Source organism: Homo sapiens, chromosome 17 (assembly GCF_000001405.40).
Source record: "Homo sapiens chromosome 17, GRCh38.p14 Primary Assembly".
NCBI classification, from domain to species: Eukaryota; Metazoa; Chordata; class Mammalia; order Primates; family Hominidae; genus Homo; species Homo sapiens.
The window spans coordinates 55,560,565-55,561,872 of record NC_000017.11 but is presented as its reverse complement, the minus strand read 5'-3'; the positions used below and the strand labels follow the sequence as shown (position 1 = coordinate 55,561,872).

The following is a 1,308-nucleotide window of genomic DNA, read 5'->3' as shown; positions in this document are numbered from 1 at the left end:
ATTTCTTCGCCCCTGACTGCTGGTTCCCATGCATAACTCACTCATTCCTACCTCTGAGCTGTTTAACAGGCCATCCATCCACCTTTACCACTCAAATTTAACAGTGTGCTGTAGTGCTTGAGGATGGGCTCTAGAGCTTAACAGAACCAGATTCCACTCCTGGCTGCATCGTTGACTGGATGGAAATGTTGGACAATGCACTTACCCTTTCTGAGCTTTAATTTTCTCATCTGTCAAATGTAACTGGATAAGAGTGACTTCAGACTTCACGTGACGCCGGTGCTGGGCGAACAGGGCGGCGGCCACTGGACCCTCGTTTTGGCTGGGGAAGGAAACCCTGAAGGTGCCACTGGCGCTCTTTGCCTTGAACCGGCAGCGCCGGTGTGAGCGGCTGCGGAAGAACCCTGCTGTGCAGGCCGGCTCAGTAGTGGTCCTGCAGGGCTAAGAGGAGACTCAGCGCTACTGCACCTACACCGGGGTCCTCTTCCGCCAGGAGTCCTTCTTTCACTGCGCATTCGGTGTCACCGAGCCAGGCTGCTACGGCTTCATCGACGCTGACACTGGGAAGTCGGCCCTGTTTGTGCCCAGGCTTCCTGCCAGCCATGCCACCTGGATGGGAAAGATCCATTCCAAGGAGCACTTCAAGGAGAAGTATGCCGTGGACGACGTCCAGGACGCAGATGAGATTGCCATTGTCCTGACGTCACAGAAGCCCTCTGTCCTCCTCACTTTGCGTGGCGTCAACACAGACAGCAGCAGCGTCTGCAGGGAGGCTTCCTTCGAGGGCATCAGCAAGTTCAAAGTCAACAACACCATTCTTCACCCAGAGATCGTTTAGTGCCGAGTGTTTAAGACGGACATAGAGCTGGAGGTTCTGCACTACACCAATAAAATCTCCAGTGAGACCCACTGTGAGGTAATAATGAAGACTGTAAAAGTGGGAATGAAAGAATATGAGTTGGAAAGGAAATTTCAATATCCAAAATAATAGAAAGTATAATGAACCCTAAGTCCCCATCAGGTTTTTGTGTTTTGTTTTGTTTGCTAGAGCATTTTATTATTATTATTATTATTATTATTATTATTATTATTATTGTACTTTAAGTTTTAGGGTACATGTGCACAATGTGCAGGTTTGTTACATATGTATACATGTGCCATGTTGGTGTGCTGCACCCATTAACTCGTCATTTAGCATTAGGTATGTCTTCTAATGCTATCCCTCCCCCCTTCCCCCACCCCACAACAGTCCCTGGTGTGTGGTGTTCCCCTTCCTGTGTCCATATGTTCACATTGTTCAATTCCCAC

The 1,308-nt window shown here is 48.9% G+C and overlaps 1 pseudogene; it reads left to right on the top strand.

Annotated features, from left to right (window-relative positions):
• Window positions 264-966, top strand: LOC100418888 (peptidase D pseudogene; annotated as a pseudogene).